The sequence below is a fragment of the Homo sapiens genome, chromosome 13 (genome assembly GCF_000001405.40).
Source record: "Homo sapiens chromosome 13, GRCh38.p14 Primary Assembly".
Taxonomy (NCBI): Eukaryota; Metazoa; Chordata; class Mammalia; order Primates; family Hominidae; genus Homo; species Homo sapiens.
This window is the reverse complement of record NC_000013.11, coordinates 94,150,850-94,167,785: the sequence shown is the minus strand read 5'-3', so window position 1 is coordinate 94,167,785 and position 16,936 is coordinate 94,150,850. Positions and strand designations below refer to the sequence as shown.

The window sequence follows — 16,936 nt, the reverse complement described above, 5'->3', positions numbered from 1 at the left end:
AGTCTTCTGTTACCTTCCTCTTCCTCTTCCCTCATACCCGCTATTTTGCTCTAGCAAGACTTGCAGCTCCTCAAATCTTCCAGCCCTTCTCATATTTCCATGATTGCACGTGCTGTTCCTTCTGCCTGGAACACTCTCCCTTCCCTCCACATTTGTTTGTCTAGAAAATTCCTACCCTTCTCCTTCCATACACTCTTTTGTCCTCAACTCTCTCCTATTCCACATTCCTTTTCATTCTCCTTGCTGTAATGTAGCTTGAAAAATGAAGACATTGTTTAAAAGCACTGATATCTAGTTCTCATGAATTTAAATATAGTATCCATAATTTCTTAGATGACCATTTAAACATAATGAGGTAGGGTGAAAAAGGAGATTTTGAAGAATCTTCTCGTCCATCTTTAGTTAATCATTTAGCTAAAATAAAATCAGAAATTTCATTCAGAGGGACCTTAACTTGGGACACGCCCTCTTGCACTCTCTCTCTCTGTTCACCCCTTAACACTGTTATGACTACACAAGAACAGCTTTTCTCCTATAAGCAACCAGGCAATATTCCAAATATTTCTATTCTTTATTCTAAATACTTTGGACCATAAGTTGTCAGAAATTAAATGAACCAAATTTGGAAAGACTTCAAACTTCCATAACATTATTAACTATGCACCATTTAAAATTTGGCTGGCTGATAATATAAATGGAAAAAACATCTAGAGTCTAATTTTACCTAACTCTCGATAAAGAGATGAAATCTAGATTTTATGAAGAAGTAGATAGCAACTTCCAAATGGATGATTATTTAATTTATTATTCTATTAAGTCCATGCTCATTTTATTCCATTTAGCACTTGAAGCTGAGAAATCAACTTTACCAAAATAACTTTGATCATTGTAGGTAATTCATAATTAAGTTCTTAAACTTGGTTATGGAATTTTAATGTATTTGGACTAAATACATATTTGATGAAAATTTAAAACTAAATGTTTTCAGGTTTCAAATATTTATTATGAGTCCTTTGGATGTCAGCATTCTTTGACAACAGTGTACTACAGCTTAATGCTTCTGAGGAGATTAAAATATGTATTGTATTATTATGAGTGATGATTTATGTCAGGATGTGCTGTCATCTTCTCTAATAAAAAAGATTACAAAACAGATAGCTATAATGTATGGTGCAGGGGGAGGGGGCTGATTTGAAATCTCTATGTTCAATTTTTAGCCAGGAAAGCTATTTATAAGACCTCTCCATATTAAACAATACCCAATCAGTTCTACTGACAGAGAGATGACTTCTAAAAATGAAAAAGGATGAGGCGCAGGCCTATTATGGAGAGTGGAATTCAGGCTCAGGTTGCAACATGAATGGGTTTGCAACGACAGGCTATCTTCTGAGGAAGAAGGCAAAGCCTAGGAAAAGAGAGTAGGGCATAGCAACAGGATGCGATATAAGAGCTATTATGATGTCTTACAATACGAACATTTTTTAAAATTCTGAATTTAGAGTCTATTTAAAATGCATTATCCAAAAGGCTATTTGCTATCTTTAGAAGTTTAATGCATTTTAAAGTAATACTCTTGCATTATGAAGTGTGAAATCACAAAGTTCGACATGGGATGACGATAACCAAGGGCTCCTCCATTATCCAGTGCTAGGAGTCAGGTAGGGATCCCATTATCGACAGGGAGGTCTCACATTCACATCAATTTTGCTTGCATAGATCATAGAGTACAACGTAGCCAAGAATCAATTAGCAGAAGAAATTTAACGTGCCCTACTTTTTAAAGCTTATACTTGGGAATACATGAAAAATTTTCTTCCTGAAAGCTCTTCTGTATGTATAAATAAATAAATTCATATACACAAAATATGTATTTGTAAATTTACTATTAGGAGGTCAATTATACCCTATGGGAGAAAATAAGAATAGAAGATGATTTGATCAAGCAAGTAGCTATTATCCCCCTGCAACAGAATCATATTATTCTGATCTAATATATAATTTTGGTCAAAGAAACTATTGTTAAAGTACAAATAATTGGAGTTTAGTTTTGTAAAAATAGTGATAAATGCTAGCTTTGTAGCACTATAGCATACCTAGCAAGACCCAAAAGCATTCATGGATATAATTTAAAAAAAATTTTTATTTCCATAGATTTTTGGGGAAGAGGTGGTATTTGGTTATATGAGTAAGTTCTTTAGTGGTGATTTGTGGGATTTTGGTGCACCCATCACCTAAGCGGTATGTAGTGAACTCAATTTGTAGTCTTTTATCCCTCACCCCCTCCCACCATTTCCCCTGAGTCCCCAAAGTCCATCGTGTCATTCTTATGCTTTTGCATCCTCATAGCTTAGCTCCCACTTACAAGTGAGAACATACGATGTTTGGTTTTCCATTCCTGAGTTACTTCACTTAGAATAATAGTCTCCAATTCCATCAGGGTTACTGCAAATGCCATATTCATTCCTTTTTATGGCTGAATAGTATTCCATTATGTATATATATATATATATGTGTATATATATATGTATACATATATGTATACATATATATATGAATAGTATTCCATTATATATATATACACACACACACACATACATATATCACAATTTCTTTATCCACTCGTTGACTGATAGGCATTTGGGCTGGTTCCATATTTTTGCAATTGTGAATTGTGCTGCTATAAACATGTATGTGCAGCTATCTTTTTTGTATAGTGACTTTTTTTCCTCTGGGAAGATACCCAGGAGTGGGGATGCTGGATTGAATGGTAGTTCTACTTTTAGTTCTTTAAAAAATCTCCACACTCTGTTCCATAGTGCTAGTATTAGTTTTCATGAATACAACTTTGAAGAACAGAATGGCAATGGTGTTAATTTATTTAAACTCTAAATCCTATCTATATTAAAATAGAATTATTAAATGCTACTAAATTCTATGTTTCACTATATTTCCAGAAATCCCTAGTTAGTTTATTTTGTAAAAAAAAAATCAATTTATTTTCACTTCATTTGGAGGAATTTTGCCCTGTCCATAGGTAGCAGAGTGAGAGATAATAGTTATGATGAGATTCTTTAAGTTATTCTATCCCTGTTATCCGCTCTATCACTGTAGAAATCATCCCAATTATTATCCCAGGAAGAGGAAGATCTCAGTATAAGGACTGTAAGATTTATTTTGCACTAATAGCCATTTTAAAACCCTGAATCAGAAAATTTAACTGGATGTGACTTTCACGTGGTTCTTTACTGCTTGTTACACTTTCACATTGTGGAAAGTCTTCTATCCAGAGATGTATGTCAGTATTTTGCTTTCTCTAGACTGTTTGCTTAATCATACAAGAATAACAATAACAATACCTTTCAATTATAACTTGTATGTGACAGTGACAAATCACTCTTGAGGCCTGAGTTTTCTCATTTGGAAATTGGGATAATGAGATCTACCTCGCTGGGTACAAAGAAAAAAAATAAAGGTGATGAGTCTGGAAGTAATGTGCAAACTACAAAGTTGTATCCCAATATTAAGTAGCTTATTACTGGGAATGTGCTATGTAAGTAACACAGGACTAATGACATTATTTCAATAGATACAGTTTTATAGATAATATAAAACGAGTATTCAAAGTTGTCAAGCTGTTTTTTCAAGTTCACATGTTGGTATGTGATGAAGTTAAGGCTCCAACCAGGTGGTCAGTGATCTAAAGTCTTGTAAGTGCTTTATTTTTCTTCTTTGTTTCTCTGCTTTTCATGTGGCATCTCATAGATAAGAGTTAATATCTTTCTTGCAAATTTAAGTACTGTAATTGCTTCACACTCAATCACTGGTCAGATCACTCTCCCAACACCCTCTACACACTGCATATTTATTCTCATTTTTATCTAGTCATCTATACTGTATCTGATTGTCCTAAGTCCTGCCTCTAGTTTTAAGAAAATTAAGATTATGTAATGCCTTTCCAAGTGTCCTAAATCCTGCCTCCAATTTTAAGAAAATTAAGATTATGCAATGCCTTTCCAAGGCTCGGTGTGAAGTTGCACTGTAGTCCTGCCATTTTCTCCAAGGGCTCTCTTGAACCACCCAGCCCTTCAGTGACCTTGCAGAGCAGTTGCATTGCTACTTGGCAATCTAGTGCTTGATTGGAATATAACTTTTCTAATCCTTTTGTGAATGTAATTCTCATCCCTCTGAACTAGATTATCAAGTCAAGTATAGGGAATAAAGCTACCTTTTAAAAATACCTCCCATAAAATTTGAACACTTATTGTGGATTTGACTAAGGGATTATTTTTAAAAATGTTTTAAAGATGTGATGATGGTATTTTGGTTATTGTTTTTTTAAAAAGAGTTTCTATTTCTTGGAGATACATACATGAGAATTTAGGGGAAAAATGATATAATGTCTGAGACTTGCTTGAAAAAAATCCTACAGGGAGTCAAGGGAGGTGGAGGTGGAAGGAAGTAGGGGGATGGAGATGAAACAAAACTGGCCAGCACGACTGTAGATAATTATCAAAACAGGATAATAAGAAAATAGGAGTTCGCCAGATACTGTTCCACCTATTTTTGCATATGATTAAAAATTCCCATAATAAAAATTAACAAAAAAGTGGTTAGCACAAAAGAAAACTGATGTCTCCCATCAATACTGGCACAATATTTTATATACAGTAGCTTTAGTTAAGTCATAAATAGATGGTGAGAAAAATAATGATTCAGATCATCTTAAATTTATTTGGAAGAAAATAAAAGGTTTTAAAAAATTCTCACTCCAGAAATAAGCTTCATGGTGAGCTATTTCTATCCTGAGAGAAACAACCAAAGGTGAAAGAGGCTATTTCTTGGACGACTCTGGTCTCTGTACCCCAACATGTAACCCTTATTGTCCATGTCCATGGTGTCATTAAAGAAAATTAAATATGAGTGGTTTTAATACTGAATTTAACTTACTTAAACTATCCATAAAATGAACTACTTCCTGAACAAATGAAGAATCACAACATATATATGCTCAATGTCCAGCTGTCTAACTGAAAATGCAGAAGAAAAAAAACTAGATAACAGATGTAGGAGAAAAAAATTTGACCCAAATTCCTAAATTCTTAAGTTTCCTAACATCCAAGTAGATGACTAAAAAGAGAAACTAAAAATGGCAGTCATCTCCTCTCCATTCCCTCCTTTCGCTTACTAACAGAACCCTGGATTTCCAGGCAGAGCAGCTTGGGTGACACTGATTCTTCAGGTGCCAGGGTAGCCCTCACTGTTGTGAGCCAGCCAACAACACACTCAAGCCCCAGCCACTGAGTGTGTCACAGGGCTGGGCGCAGTCCCATTCTGAGACAGAAAGATGAGAAGAAACATTTGCTGAGGGATCCTTGCAAAGCAGCTGATTGGTTCTCAAGGAGCAATTTAACAAGACTGTGTTTCCTGCTGGACATGAATGAGGAAGCAGCTAGCCTCAGATACTGCTGGCAGCCAGCTTGCAACCCCAAGGTGGCCAGTCTCAGGGAGAGACCACCTCCTACAAAGCAGAGCAGAGGTGCAGTGACTCTGGTTCCAGGTGACACTGCTGAGCCACTGAATCCAGCTTCACCGGCAGCTTACTTTCTCTCTTGACTCCTCAGTTTTGAGAGGCAATAAATTTCTTTCAGTATTGATATGGTTTGGCTGTGTCCCCACCCAAATCTCATCTTGAATTAAAGCTCCCATAATTCCCATGTGTTGTGGGAGGGAGCCAGTGGGAAATAATTGAATCATGGGGGTGGTTTCTCCCATACCGTCCTTGTAGTAGTGAATAAGTCTTATGAGATCTGACGGTTTTATGAGTGGTTTCCCCTTTTGCTTGGCTCCCATTCTTCTCTTGCCTGCCGCCATGTAAGACATGCCTTTGCTCCTCCTTGCCTTCATCATGATTGTGAGGCCCCCAGCCATGTGGAACTGTGAGTCACTCAAACCTCTTTTTCCATATAAATTACCCAGTCTCAGGTATGCGTTTATCAGCAGTGTGAAAATGGACTAATACAATTATGAAAGCCAGTTTGAGTTGGTTTTTTTAAACTGAAGTGCAGAATATTCTAGCTGACACCCTAGTCTTGTGCATGGCTCCTTAGATAGTACTGCTGTTTTCTGATGAATGGCCATACTCTTTACATGTCTTCTTGTCTGCTGCATAAGACTTCATCACAGTTCAATTCCAAATGGCCTAACTAAATGATGAATCTGATGAGCTCTGGTATACAGGTGCTCAGGAAAGTGAATGGCAATTACTGAGAATACCAAGTCTTGTTAAAAATATATGTCAACATGCTAATAAGACATGTAAATGGCCACAGCACATTAGAAACCTTAACTGTATACAGCAAAAGTAGAAAACTTTAACTGTGTCTATGAACACCAAGGACATATGCCAATCTACCTCTGTCAGTGATTGAAAACACAAAGATCAGAAATAAACTGAAAGCCTAAAGGGATTTTTAAACACTCTTATCTTTGAAGGAAGAGTGAACAGATGAGGAAATGGTTGTGGATGCATCTGCTTCATTTGTTAGATTTTTCTCTCTGCTCTTTGAATCATGATTTGAAAAAAAGAAAAGTATAAGAGCCTTATGCGTGCAAGAGTAAGGAAGCTTACAAAATGTATGGTAGAGGTGAGAATATTTGCATTTAATAAAATATGATTCACTGAGGCAAACACCTTAAACAAACATCTTAACTCATCATCTGCTGCTATTATAAACCCAAAGGGCATAATTTTCAGGACACAGCTCTGTGGGGGCAGGCACTGGCTTGGTAAAATTAATCAATTCTTTCTGGCAGATAATGAAATACGATTTATCACAGTACTGTTCTCCCTAGAATAGAGAGAACTTAAGGGTAAAAAGTTAAGAATGTCAATTGAGTCATCTGGGAAGATATCTTTTGTTATAATTATTTGTGAAAATAAAACTTTGAATCAGTGTTCCAAAATTAAAAAATAATTGACAAATTTGTTTTGCTTCTAGGTTAGTTATTTTGAGTCCCATATATACATGAACGAAACGAAGAAAAAAGGGCTATGTTTAGTACTTGTAGGATCCAGACCAAGAGGCCTGGAGTGGCTGTGAAGATTTCACCAAAAAAAGGTTATGCATGTTTTCATTAGTGAAGCAGTAAGTGTTTACTGAAAGTTAATTATGTATCTAACACTTCACCAGGTGTTGTGCTTACCACGGATGGTTTAATGGGCCTGCAACCCATGCAGTGCATGGAAGGGCCCCACACTTTAATATCCTGTGGTTGCCATCTTCAAATTCCTAATAATTGTTGAACAAGGGCTCTACATTTTTCATTTTGAATTGGCCCTCAAAAATTATGTAGCTGGCCCTGGTGCTTGTAAATGCTTTACTTCCTATCTGTGACTTATATAGGATATAAGACCATAAGATACATATAGTAATCTCTCCTTATCCACAGAGGATATACATTGCAAGACCCTTGGTGGATGCCTGAAACTGCAGAGAGCACCAAACCCTATGTATACTACATTTTTTTCTTGTATACACATGGCTATGGTAAGGTTTAATGTATAAATTAGGCATAGTAAGTGATTAACAGCAATAACTAATAATAAAATAGAACAATTATAACAATATACTTCAATAAAAGTTATGTGAATGTGATTTCTGTCTTGCTCTCTCAAAATATCTTATCGTATGGAATATTTTCGGACCATGATTGGCTATAAGAAACTGAAACTGCAGAAAACAAAACCTCAAATAAAGGGGGATTACTGCACATAAAAAAGAGCAGGATTATTATTTAAATATATATTGCCTATATAAACTGTCATAAAGCACCAAAATGGGTAGGCTAGTGGATGAGATATAAGACAGCACAGGCTAAGTTATTGGTTGATGATAATGTAACAAGCATAGCAAGTCTTAGAGAATGGTGACATTGGTATGGGCAGGATTTGCTTGAGAAGATTTCTCACAGGACCTAGAACATATTATTGTTTACCTTTTAATTAGTACTAGTGACCATTTATTGAGCATAGACCTTATCTTAGACATGTAAGTATATATTGGCAGGGTAATTCTCGCATACGCTTCCATAATGGAGCTTCAACTTGATTTTCTAGTCTTAGTTGTTTCCTGGTTGATATTGTTTGGCTGTGTCCCCACCCAAATCTCACCTTGAATTGTAGCTTCCATGATTCCCATGTGTTGTGGGAGGGACCTGGTGGGAGATAATTGAATCATGAGGGCAGTTTCCTCCAAACCGTTCTCGTGGTAGTAAATTAAGTCTCATGAGATCTGATGGTTTTATAAGGGGTTTCCTCTTTCACTTGGTTCTCATTCTCTCTTGCCTGCTGCTGTGTAAGATTTGCAGTTTGCCTTCTGCCATGATTGTGAAGCCTCCCCAACCACGTGGAGCTGTGAGTCCATTAAATCTCTTTTTCTTTATAAATTACCCAGTCTTAGATATGTCTTCATCAGTGGTGTGAAAACGGATGAATATACTGGTTTCCTTTGCATCTCTATGCTCCCACTAATCTTTACTGCCCACCACTTTTTCAACAAGTGAGGAATCTGAGGCTCAGAAAGAATGAGTGATATGCCCAATGTCTCAGGGCTAGTAAGTAGTTGATGTGGAATCCCTACCCAAATCATCTGACTCCAGGACACAGACACTTATAATTTGTTTCTGTTTGTCATCTCTGCCTAGGTATGTGTATATCAGCATAGATGTCTCCCAAGATATATTATACATGCCAGGTCGGAGGAAAGCACTAGTACATACCTACAGGTGGGAGTGAGAAAGGGTTGTGGTACTGGGTTAGGGAACATCTGGATGGAACAGAGTAGGGTGAATTAATATTGGGGGATAGTGGTAAAGATAAGACGCATCTTAAAGATGAGTATTAATAAAAGCTGCCATATGCTATGTCTTGTAATTATCCTTGTTTTACACACATGTCAATGGAGATGCCCAAGATTGTAGTAGCAAATGGATGCGCTGAGGTGTGAACCCAGACCTAACTACTTGTATGATCTTCACTAACATCTCACCTGCCACTCCTGAGTTGAGATACGAAGTGGTAAAATTTTACCACTTACAGAGTTTATCTTCACTCCCTCTGTCTTATTTTTCTTCTTATTCTCCCCTAAATCTTCTAATTACATCCTAATTACTTGCTCTCATTTTCTGTTTCTCTTTTCCCTTGTTACTCATTCTCTCCTGCCTGCTTCTGTCCTTCCCCTCTGTTTGCTGAAAGTTAGGCTGGATTTTGAATGCTTATCCTTGGGAATGTTTTTCTAAATTGCATTTAAATTAGGCATTTCATTTATGAATTGTGTTCTCTTTAAAGGAGTTAATGGCATGTGAGTTATCATCTTTTTCTTCTCAGATTAGTCTTTTTTTTTTTTTAAAGCATCATCAAAATATGTACAAGAAAGGGTAATTATTCAACTCAAACTATAATTGTGTCTAATTGACACTCCAGAAATATCCTTCCTAGTAACATCTGAAACAATTTATTAAGATTTTTTTGAACATTGATTCACAGCTAGTATCTCAATTGTAGCACTGAAAAGGCTCTTGATAATTTTGCTATTACAAAATGCATGTTCCATGGAGAGGTTGCGTATCATTTCTCAAACACTATGAGGCAAACTCTTAAGCAAGCCCTAATATCTGGCAGGAAATTGGGCTTACTGACCATTAGCCAAATGGCTGTCTGCCTTTAAGATTTGGCAGTGAACTCAATATTGGCAGGTTAGTGGGGAATGGGTGTTAGAATTACATATTATGGGTACTCTGTGTTCTTTCTCTTAGTCCATGGTAATTTCCATCTTCCCAGCCTCCCCATGTTGAGCTCTCAGTTATCCTTGACTCCCCCTTTCCTGCTGTGTGCACATTCAATCATGGCCCAATTCTGCAACTTCTTTCACACCTCTTTCAACTATCACTGTACCAGTCAAAGCTCACTTATGTCTCACATGGCTGACGTGATACCTACTGCCTACTGTCTTCCTGCCTTCCAGTTTTCATTCCTCCAGTGTAGTGTGCACACTGCTGTTAGGGGGAACTTCCCAAGTCACAGCAGGAGTCAAACCAGTCTCCTCCTCCAAGTCCTTCAATGCCCTCTATTGTTGGGAATACTTAGCAAGGCACCAAAGATTCTGCAATGGGGCTTTGACTTGGTTTTCCAGCCGTAGTTATTTCCTGGTTTCCTTTATACCTCTATGCTCCTGCCAGTCTCCACTGCCCACTGTTGTGAGAACACTCCCTGGGCCATTACTTCTCCCATTCTCTGCACCTAGAGTCTCCTCCCACGGCTATTTCTACTCCCACTCTCCATCCTTTCAAGCCCACCTGGGCTTTGACTCCTATCACGAAGGTTTCTATGATTCAGCCTCCAGTTGGAGGTGTTCTTTCTCTTTATTCTCCAGGTTCCAAAAGCAATGCCCATTTTTACCTTCCTTTGAGCTTTTCTCTCTCTCTCTAGAAAATAAATGGCTTGAGGATTGGGATTATAATAACAGTTTTACAGGCAATAACTTATTCAGTCCCTTAAGCTTTATGAAGAAGGGACACATTCCCTTTTATAGATGAGAATGCTAAGGCCCAGGCAGGTAAAATCACCTTGCCCAAAGCCATACATCTAAAGAGGGGCAGAACGGAGCTTCAGATTTAGGAGTCTTGGCCCCAGGATCTTTTTCGTTTGCTTAACCACTACACTCATCAGCCTCTCTGACCACCTTATATCCACGTCTGCCCCATAGCTTCTAACACAGCTCCTCGCGCATAGTGGGTAATCAGGATAGGTAGGTTTTCAAAACTGAATTGAATTACACTGATTTAATTAGCTCTGGAAGAAACCTCGCCAATCTGAGGATATAAAATGTTAACACTTAATTCCTTTCTCCAGCACTCATCTAATTACTTAGAACCATGGCTATCAATATAGCTGTGAGAGGCACCAGAAAAATATGCAGTAGCTTAAATGAGAACTATGTATATTTTATGTCTGTTCCAAAGCAACACTTACCACACCTCTGGGAGCTCCTGGGCATGGGTCTGAATATAAATAGGCACACTTATTGTTTTATTCAAATTAGTTGGTATGACACTGAGCCCTGTACTGATTTGTCCTGGGGCAAATATGATTTGAGCAGCCTCACAAAGTATTCATAGAAGACTTTGCAGCAACAGAAAAGATACTGAATTCTTTGTCAATGAGGTGTGTCCAACAGTACTATCACATTTGGGGTGTGGGTGTGGTTGGGTAGACACTGCAACATCACAATTGTTCTCACTCTATAGGTGTACCTGTTGGATCACATGTTTGGCATTTGCAGTATCTATATATCTATGTCTATATCTATATTATATTTATATCTATCTCTATATCTGTATCTATATGTATCTATATCTATACCTATATCCATATTCATTACCCCTTTCAGATCTATAACTTGTTCTCTGACATTTATGACCTTTCTGAAGGATCTGCTTAAAAAGTATCTTTATATTGTGACTACTGTTGTCTTGATCTGTTCTCTGGTTTTTCAGCAGTCCACAATAATGCTAGGACTTGCCAGGTTTCTCCTTATCTTACTTAAGTTTACCCTGTTTCATTTGGCCATAATTGACATAATATATAGTTTGACATATCCCGTTTTTCTGAAGTATGTCCTATGGCAGAGATATGGAAAAGCCAAAGGTGTTTTGATGTTGGATCATCTTGGCTTTAGTCTCGATTCTGTCACTGCCTCTGAAGCCCAGGCATGCTACCCTACTTCTTTGGGCTTCTTTCCTCATCCTTCGAATGGAGATGGTAGCACCTGTGAGGATCAAATGAGTGAATGTGGAGTGTGTTCTTAGTCAGTACTGGATCCCTCCCTTGCCTCTTTTCTCTCTACCCCTCTTGTTCCTGTGCAGGCAACATGCACTCACAATAGCATGTATGGGTGGGGGTGTGGCAGAAGACAAGTCTCTAAAGGGAGGCAGAGGACAGGTGGCGAATGTCTATGTCAAGGACTTTGGACTTTATCCTAAATGGAAATAGCAGTCACTGAAGAGTTAAAAGCAGGGAAGTGGCATGGTTAATCAGATTTGCGTATCAGAAGAGTTATCCTCTTATGGTAGAGAACAGATTAGGTCAGTTCTCCTGGTCTGACCTGTATTGCTGCCCCAGGAGTGCAGTTGTTAAAGACAAATTCTCTCCACACCCTGCACTGAATTAAATGTTTTGGGCTTGGGGATCTACATTTGATAAAATATGAAGATTAGTTTTAGGCTTTTTTCGATTTTAGGAGAAGGCAAGGCTGGAGGCAGAGAGAAAGGTGGTTACTGTTCATGTGAAAATTAACAAAAGCTTGAATGAAAGCTGTGGAAAAGGTATAGAGTAATTTGAGATATTTACATGGTAAAACCTGCAGCATGTCTGCTCAGTGGTATTTAAAAGGTGTAGGAGAGAGCAGAATCCAGATGATAACTCGTTTCTGGCTTGGGTCATTAGGAGAATGATGAGGCCATTAATAGAAAACTCGAGAAAAGAAGGAGGAGCAGGTTGTGGGATGAGAAGGGTGAGCTCAGTTTCTGGCATGTTTTGGGGTGACTATAGGTTACCACCAAAAATGCCTTGTAGGTAGGTGGATTTGTGGAAGTGGCATCAGGAGAGACGTTTGACCTGCAGATGCAGAGTGGAAATTCTTGGTAGTTAGAAGGCATAATTTAGAGGTGTACCCCCAGGGAGCCGGACTAAAGGACCAATGCAGTGCCCTGGGGACACCAGCGCTCAAGGGACAAGAAAGGGCAGAGGAGCCACAAAGGTGGCTGAGAAGGAGAACACAGGGAGAAAAATACTCAATGCTTTTGGGGGGTACTTTTTTGAATATCTGCAGAAAGCTTACTGAACAAAATGATATTGGGTGCAGAAGATACATACTTTAAAAGAATGGGAAAATAATTTGGGTTTGATGATCAGTATAGGCATAATGTGTTAAAACCTCAGGAGAAAACCAAAGGTCTTTACAGAACGTCTTAAAAGGCAGAGTTTAAAATTTCCCTTTTATTTCTTAAATACCATTGCTTCTGGTGCCCTTTTTTTTGGGTTGTGAAATTGAGGTGGGAAGGGCAAAAGATCTGTGAGACTCAAGTTTAAAATGAGCAAAGCTGGGACTTCGGCCAAGGTCTTTTGATTCCAAGGCTGATAGCCTTGCTCTCTGTGAAAATACCAATGCATGCCATTGCAGATTCAGTTGCAGTCACATGGTACATGTTGGCAAAGTTTTTAGCCCCAGTGGAGGGGAGGAAGGAGCACTGAATGAGAGGTCAGCACTCCAGGCTTCAGGCTTCACACTGCTCTTGTTAACTTCCATGTCTTTTTGTTTTAGATCTTGAAGATATAAACCTTTTGCCATGTAAATGTGAAGGAGGAAAAAAATGGAAGAGAATCTACGATTTTAAAAGGCATATTTTAGTGGGTTACAATATGTTATAATTGATATTTCTTACTGGCCTAAAAACAACACTAAAATAATCCTGAAGAGCAGAGTAGCTGTAAAAAAAAATCGCAATAAAAAAATCCTCCCATAATAAGCTAAAATGCAACCTGCATCATGAGATATTTGCTAAATTGGCATCTTAATATAAATTTATAATCTCATCTGGGATAAATATTATACCTGAACTAAGTCTAGTTTGATTACCTTCAAGTTCCCAAGAGTTCCAGCTATTTGTGTTATTTATATTCAACTGTAGGACAATATGCTGATATGAATGACTGGGTTATTATACATTAGAATAATAATTGTTATTTTATGAAGTCTTATATAGTATTTTTTCATATAAAAAGTGTTTTCTTGTATATTACATTATTTGCACAATTCTGAGTTGTGTTGTATCCAACTCAGAGATGTAGAACCTACACACGCTAGTGCTTCTCAGATTTATTGCACATAAGAATCACCTGGGGATCTTGTTAAACTGCTGCTTCTGGTTCAGGAATTCTGGGATGGGGCCAGTTGTTTGTGTTTTCACAAGCTCCCAAGTAATGCGGATGCTGCTAGTTTGTGGGCCACACTTTGAGTGGCAAGAACCTAGTCCACATTTAACTCCTGTACTAATACATACTATACCTTTTTGTGACTCTCAATTTCTAAGAAAGAGCATAGCAAGTTTTTCTCCTACATGACATTTTTAAATGGTAGATAGGACACAAGCATTGGGTGGATGCCATACCCACTAGCTACCAGCTGAGGGTCGTGGAAAAATGACCTTTCTTTGCCCTTTCCCATTTTCAGAGTTGGTGAGGGGATCAAATAAGTCATTTTATGTTAATGTGCTTCATAAAGACTTGCTGCTATTTATCATACTTTGTGTTTACCTACAAGATTCCCTCCAAGTTCATAGATTCATAATTCTCTTATTTGTTAAGACTGAGCTTTGCTTTGGCCTTTTAAGTATTTGATCTAATTGGTAACAGTGATGATCTTTATTTTGCTAAGCTAAGGATGTTGAAAAAAATTTATGAAGTGAGAAGAGAACTGGTGAATGGAATCTGACTCGCATGAAGAGCTATGTGAGGGTATTAATGGAAGAAGTGGGGGCAATCTCTAGGTGGGTGAGTTACTCAGGTGGCAACATTCATTAAATTCTCCTGTGCCTCCCTAATATTTTCCACCAAGAAAATGATTTCTCCTTTCTTTCAACACTTATTCCAGTAATGGTTGCACGACACATAACTTACTTGAAATTACATAGGGTCCCATAGAATCCTTTGTAATATCAATCATTTAAAACTTTTGTTGCTTTCAAAATTTAGCTTTTTAAATTTTAATGGGTTGATATATTATTTTTACAAATCTTATAGATTTCAAAACTCATGAAGGTGGGGATTACATCTCCACATGACTTAAAACATAGTAGGTGCTTAGTAGTTATTGGTTGCCTTGAGCTGACTTCCATTAGAGTTAAAAAGCTCCCGTTTAAAAATAGTAAATTATTTATGGGAGCATAAATTCCCCTAAGGGTAAATTACTGTTCTTCACTTAGGTAATCAGATTGATACCTTAATGAGAGTTGCAGCACTGAAGAGATGGGAGGTTTAATTCTTACAAGGGGAATACAATGATTTTTTTTTTTAAAGTAGGCTTGAGGATGTAGCAATATGCCGTAAGTGTTAACTGTGAAGTAAGCAAGTACTGGATACTTTATCTCACTTAACTTGATCTCAGTAATGCTCTTCCTATTATACTTTACATTTTACCTACTTACTCTTGGGGTAAATGATGTTTTTAAAAAATCATAAAAAATACAGTTCTAATACCTGACATGTACTAAGTTTTCAGAACTATTTGTTTGATGAATAAATGAGTGACTTTTTAATCTATAGGTTGGGAGATTGAGAAGCAGCAAATTTAAGTGAATTACCCAAGATCACCCAAGCAATGATTGACTGGATTGGGTTCAAACTCATGTTATATGTCTCCAAATCCAATCCACTTTTTACTTCTTTATAGTAAGTCAAGAACTTTGGACATCCAACTAAAGCAAATCCATCCCTGGGTAAAGAAAAGGAGGTTTGGAAGGAAATAAACTTGATTGACATTGTAATTCTGCCTGAGGCTCAGGGGAGCTTCCAAAACTCATTACCTCTGCCACATTTGTGGCTGCCATAGAGTGCCAATACCTGCATTATTCAAATTCATCTGACAGACTTTAGAACCTTGGGTCACCCAATTTTTGAATTTGAAACAAGTCCCTGTAGATTGCTCTAGTATGGCTCTGTTCAGTGCTTATCCTTCCACACTGAATGGAGGAAAAGCGGGTCAATAAAAAAGAAAGAAAAAATGGAAAAAGAAAGAAGTGAAAGGGAATGTCTATAGCCAACAAATTATGTCATACAATTAAATTTATATATTTTTATTTCCACTAGACTTTATGTTACTTACTCTGCACTAAGGATAACAGACATTCTCCTTTGTGTGCATACTCATAATGCACACACCATTATCCACCTCTACAGACTCAGGTTGTTTAGGGATGCCCTTTCGAAGGAAGGCTCTGGAAATGTCTCAGAGCTGCTGTAGTGTGCTTGTCTACCTGTGCACCATTGCCTCGGATAAAGACATCTCTCTGCCATCACAGGGCCCTCAACTCACCCAATTCGTCTATAGTTTCCATGACTTGCAGTGTTTGGTGGATCCTTCTATTTTTGCTTTTCAAACACCAGAGAAAACACTGTTGAGCTCAAATAACCATTCGAATTTACTGTATGGAAAAAGCATTCTGGTTTATCAGGGCCCTTCGCATGTCAGCTTCTGTAGTGTCCTGCTCACTTACAAGAGAAGCCACAGAGGGATTCGGAAAACATAACAACAGCATAGCTCTCAGTGTAGTGTCAAGGGGGACAGATATAAAAGGTCTTAACATTTCTCTGTTGTTCAGTTTATAACAGATCTTTTCCAGTTATGATAAAAATGTGGTTTTCATAGAGAATAGCTCATCCAATTATTTCAGCTTTTTGATATACATATTTCTGCTGCCTGCCTTCCTTAAATGTCCTCATTTCTTGATATATTTCATTTTCACAAAGGTATTCTAGGTGTAAAAAAGTCAGCATTAGACCATTCAGTAAGCTTGGATTCCACACCTGCCTCTACCTCACTTCATGGAAATGCTCTTTATCTTGGTGTCTGACTTATCTATAACTATGTGGCTCCATCCATAAGGCCAGGCAGCTTTAGTTTCCTTATGTTATAAAATGAGCTATCATAAGAATATATTTCAAAATGCTCAGAGCTTTCTGGAGAGTGAGCAAACTAGGAGGGAAATTTATATTTGGACAGTTTTACCTTATGCCTTCAGAAAGAGAAGCTACCAACAGAACACCAAGGTCTCAGTGATATGCTTTACAGGTGCTTCTTGTCAAATTGTCTTCATTCGTTTA

At 37.6% G+C, this 16,936-nt stretch overlaps 1 protein-coding gene and 1 long non-coding RNA gene across 5 annotated transcripts in view; one reads left to right on the top strand and one right to left on the bottom strand.

The window, feature by feature from the left end:
* GPC6-AS1 (GPC6 antisense RNA 1) overlaps positions 1–13,593 on the top strand; it is a 33,799-nt gene extending 20,206 nt beyond the window's left edge. Inside the window, exon 4 of the long non-coding RNA NR_046535.1 lies at positions 13,380–13,593. This is a non-coding gene — a long non-coding RNA (GPC6 antisense RNA 1). The remainder of the gene's footprint in view (positions 1–13,379) is intronic.
* GPC6 (glypican 6) overlaps positions 1–16,936 on the bottom strand; it is a 1,191,492-nt gene that overhangs the window by 240,235 nt on the left and 934,321 nt on the right. The window lies entirely within an intron of this gene.